At 40.7% G+C, this 3,641-nt stretch overlaps 2 annotated features.

Moving 5' to 3' along the window:
* Positions 2,425-2,625: a silencer, noted in NCBI's record as "peak6819 fragment used in MPRA reporter construct". NCBI's record gives its function as "represses an SCP1 promoter by STARR-seq MPRAs in K562 erythroleukemia cells {active_cell/tissue: K562}" and the evidence as "EXISTENCE:reporter gene assay evidence [ECO:0000049][PMID:32103011]".
* Positions 3,045-3,245: a silencer, noted in NCBI's record as "peak6820 fragment used in MPRA reporter construct". NCBI's record gives its function as "represses an SCP1 promoter by STARR-seq MPRAs in K562 erythroleukemia cells {active_cell/tissue: K562}" and the evidence as "EXISTENCE:reporter gene assay evidence [ECO:0000049][PMID:32103011]".

Here is a 3,641-nt window from a genome sequence, read left to right on the forward strand (position 1 = left end):
CTCAGGCATGGCGGGCTGCAGGTCTGGAGCCCTGCACCGCCGGGAGGCAGCTAAGGCCCGGCAAGAAGTCGAGCACAGCAGCTGCGGGCCCAGGTGCTAAGCCCCTCACTGCCGCGGGCGGGCGGGGCCGGCCGGCCGCTCCAAGTGCGGGGCCCGCGGAGCCCACGCCCACCCGGAACTCGCGCTGGCCGGCAAGCACCGCGCGCAGCCCCGGTTCCCGCCCGTGCCTCTCCCTCCACACCACCCCGCAAGCTGAGGGAGCCGGCTCCGGCCTTGGCCAGCCCAGAAAGGGGCTCCCACAGTGCAGCGGCGGGCTGAAGGGCTCCTCAAGCGCGGCCAGAGTGGGCGCCAAGGCCGAGGAGGCGCCCAGAGCGAGCGAGGGCTGTGAGGGCTGCCAGCATGCTGTCACCTCTCAGAAAAACGGTTATATACTGAAACTGTAGGAACAGCAAAGAGATTAAAGATCAAGTAAAGAGCAACAAAGGTAAGTAGGAAAACTCTGTTTCATTTCAGGAGAGAACATATGCTCTGATTGGTTTATTCATTATTTATTTCATTTGTCAATGCACATTGCTGTGCTACTTAGCGGCATACAATAGTTAACTGCATTTAAACAAGATAAATAAGCGAATTCTAAAATAAATGAAAATGCAATAAATGCTGTCATTGAATAAGTGTAGAGATTCTGCCAGCACATAGCAACAGGATATCAAGTTGGGTCTAAGAAAAAAACCCACAGGTATTGATATTTAAAACGATGTTTGAAATATAAAACCTAGGAAAGGGAGGGGAGTGAAAACAAGTGCATTGAAGTTAGTATAATCATGGAGGCAAGCAGGCAAGTTGGAGTTCAGCATACTGAACACCCTATGCAGCAGAAGTCAAGCGCAGCTGATTCTGAAAATTACCTGGAACATATTTAGATACACAGACTCTAGGATTTCTTATTTTTAATGTTCAGAATTGGTGTCTTGGAGAATATACATTTTAATAACCCCCAACCCACCTTTTCTGATGTAGTTAGTCACCTCCTCAGTGCATAGAACCACACTCTGGAAGTTCCATCATGCAGAAATTAACAATTTAGGGCCAAGCATAAACGGATCAAGGACGGAGTAGCTGTAAAGCTAAGTCAGTCTGGAACTTTGAGCAGCCAAAGCATAGGAAGGTGAACAGAGCAGGTGTAAGGAGGTCCCTGGGAGCCTCTCCAGTACTGACTGTCAGGCTCAGGCTGCTTTGTATAAGGTGTCAGTTCTATAACCTGGGTATCAATTAAAATAAGAGCAGATTTTGCAGAAAAGACAATCAATGCCTTTAAGGTGTGTTTTACCTGAATGTAACTGGAGGCTATTTCAAATTAGCAGAGGCATAAAAACGGAAAAAATTACAATGGATAAGGACACAGTAGGCTTTTTGAGTATCCAGTTCAAATGAATGCAGCTGCAACTGTTTGTGGAGATGCTGACAGGGTGACATGAGTCACTAACTTGCGTGTTTGGGCTAAGTAATAGGGAATGGAAGAATTGACCTAATTAAAGTTGTATTGCCATTGGAATGTTGGTGTGAGATTAGTTTCGGTCATTTCACTTGTGATGGAATTAACCAGCTGATGTGACTCAGAAGATAGATTGCATCTCAATGTCTTATAGTTTACACACTAAAGAATTCTTCCTCAGCGCAAGTTCAAGGTGAAATGCCTTCTTAGTCTATAGCTGCAAGCATGACTTGTTTAACTTAGAAGAAACGTATGGAATTGATACCTTTTTTATTACCATGTGTAATATGCAATGTGGTTTGACTGGGGCCATTTAAATCATCTGTTCCCTTCACATAACGACCTTTGATTGGGGGCAATCAACTTATTGTGGTGCAAAAGTCATCGCGGTTTTTGCCATTACTTTTAATGACAAAAACCGCGATGACTTTTGCACCAACCTAATACCTAAGCAGAATAACTATTATGAAACCATGTTTGTACTTGTATTGTCAAATTCTGTTGCTTCAGTGGGTTTTCTTCAAGTAATTTTTCTTTAAAAATAAAGCTATTTGACAGTTTTTCTCAAGGACCATGTCTATATAGGCAATGGAAACTGGAGAACTGGACTACTATCCACTGAATATAATAAATCATAAGTCAAGGCCAGCTCTATGCAAATTGAACAATTTGTCCATGTTTCTCCATGAAGCCCCTGATCTCCTCTTAAACAAAGAGCCCACTATTTTAGTGGAAGGTCTCTTCTATCTTTAATCAAAACTGATTTCACTGAGCCCCAAACTATCCAAGGATATTATATTTAAAAAAGAAATAAAGTGTTAAAAATTACAAGATAATTATTTGCATTTTAACTAAAATAAAGTGTGAGAATGTAGGTACATTTTAACCTGCTAGAAAGTGGTTTGAGTGGTCAGATTTTGCCTGAATAATTTGCCTAACATACCCTCATTTCCCTAATTTGCAGTATTTTAACCTGAATCACTTAATTTCTTATATTAGAAACAAATGGTATTCAATAAATGCTTCTTCCTGGAGCAGAATAAGCAGATGACTGCCTTAGAGTCAGTCCAGGGCTGGTTTCTCCAGCAACCCAGGCACACTTCATGCTCAGTGCTTTTTGCGCTTGCTGTCCCTTCAAAGTTTAGATATCCTTATACATTTCTCCATTGAGTGTTTATGCAAATGCTTTCTTCTCAAATTTTTCAGGATGATCTTCTATGAAAGCTTAACCCATTGACTACTCCCTGAAATTCTTAATCCCACCATTCTATTTTTTACTTAATACTGATCACTAATATAGTGTGTATTTTATACATCGCTTGTTGTCTGTTTCTCTCATTACAATGTGAGTAAGCCTACTGAGAACAAGACTCATTGATTTGCTTATTTCTGTAATCCTAGACCCCAGAGGAGGGCTTGAGATATAGCTGACACTATTTTGAAATGATTATATAGTCACAGAAAGTTACACAGAAGTACATAGAGTTCTTGAGTATGGGATCTCATTAATGGGTTCATCTTGCATAAATAAAATACAATACGAATACCAGAAAACTGAGACTGGGTATAATGTGTGTATATAGTTCAATGTCAGTTGATCACATATGTAGACTTGCATAATCACCACCAAAATCAAGATACAGAACTATTACTATTTCATCACAACCATGTCTCCCTCCTGCTACCTGTTTATAGTCACTCTTACTCACTTACCCTTACCATTCCTAACAGTCGACAACCACTAATATGTTTTCTTTCATCATTTTGTCATTTCAAGAATGTTATAGATATGGAAATGCCTGTTCTTTTATACTGCTGAGTAAAATTCCGTGGTATTTATAGAGGATAGTTTGTTTTTAAACTATCACCAATTAAAAGACATGTTGGTTGTGTCCAGATTTTTGCTACTACAAATAAAGCTTGTATGAGCGTTCATGTACAGGTTGTGCGGACCTATGTTTGCTTTTATCTGGGATAAATGTTTACAACTATAATCATTGGGCATTGGTAAGTATATGTTCAGTGGTTTTAAGAAGCCTGCCCAACAATTTTCCAGAGTGGCTGTATCATTTTGCATTCCCACAAATAATGTATTAGAGATCAAGTTCCTTTACATCTTCCACATCACTTGGTATTGTATCTATAT

The sequence above is a fragment of the Homo sapiens genome, chromosome 7, assembly GCF_000001405.40.
Source record: "Homo sapiens chromosome 7, GRCh38.p14 Primary Assembly".
Taxonomy (NCBI): domain Eukaryota; kingdom Metazoa; phylum Chordata; class Mammalia; order Primates; family Hominidae; genus Homo; species Homo sapiens.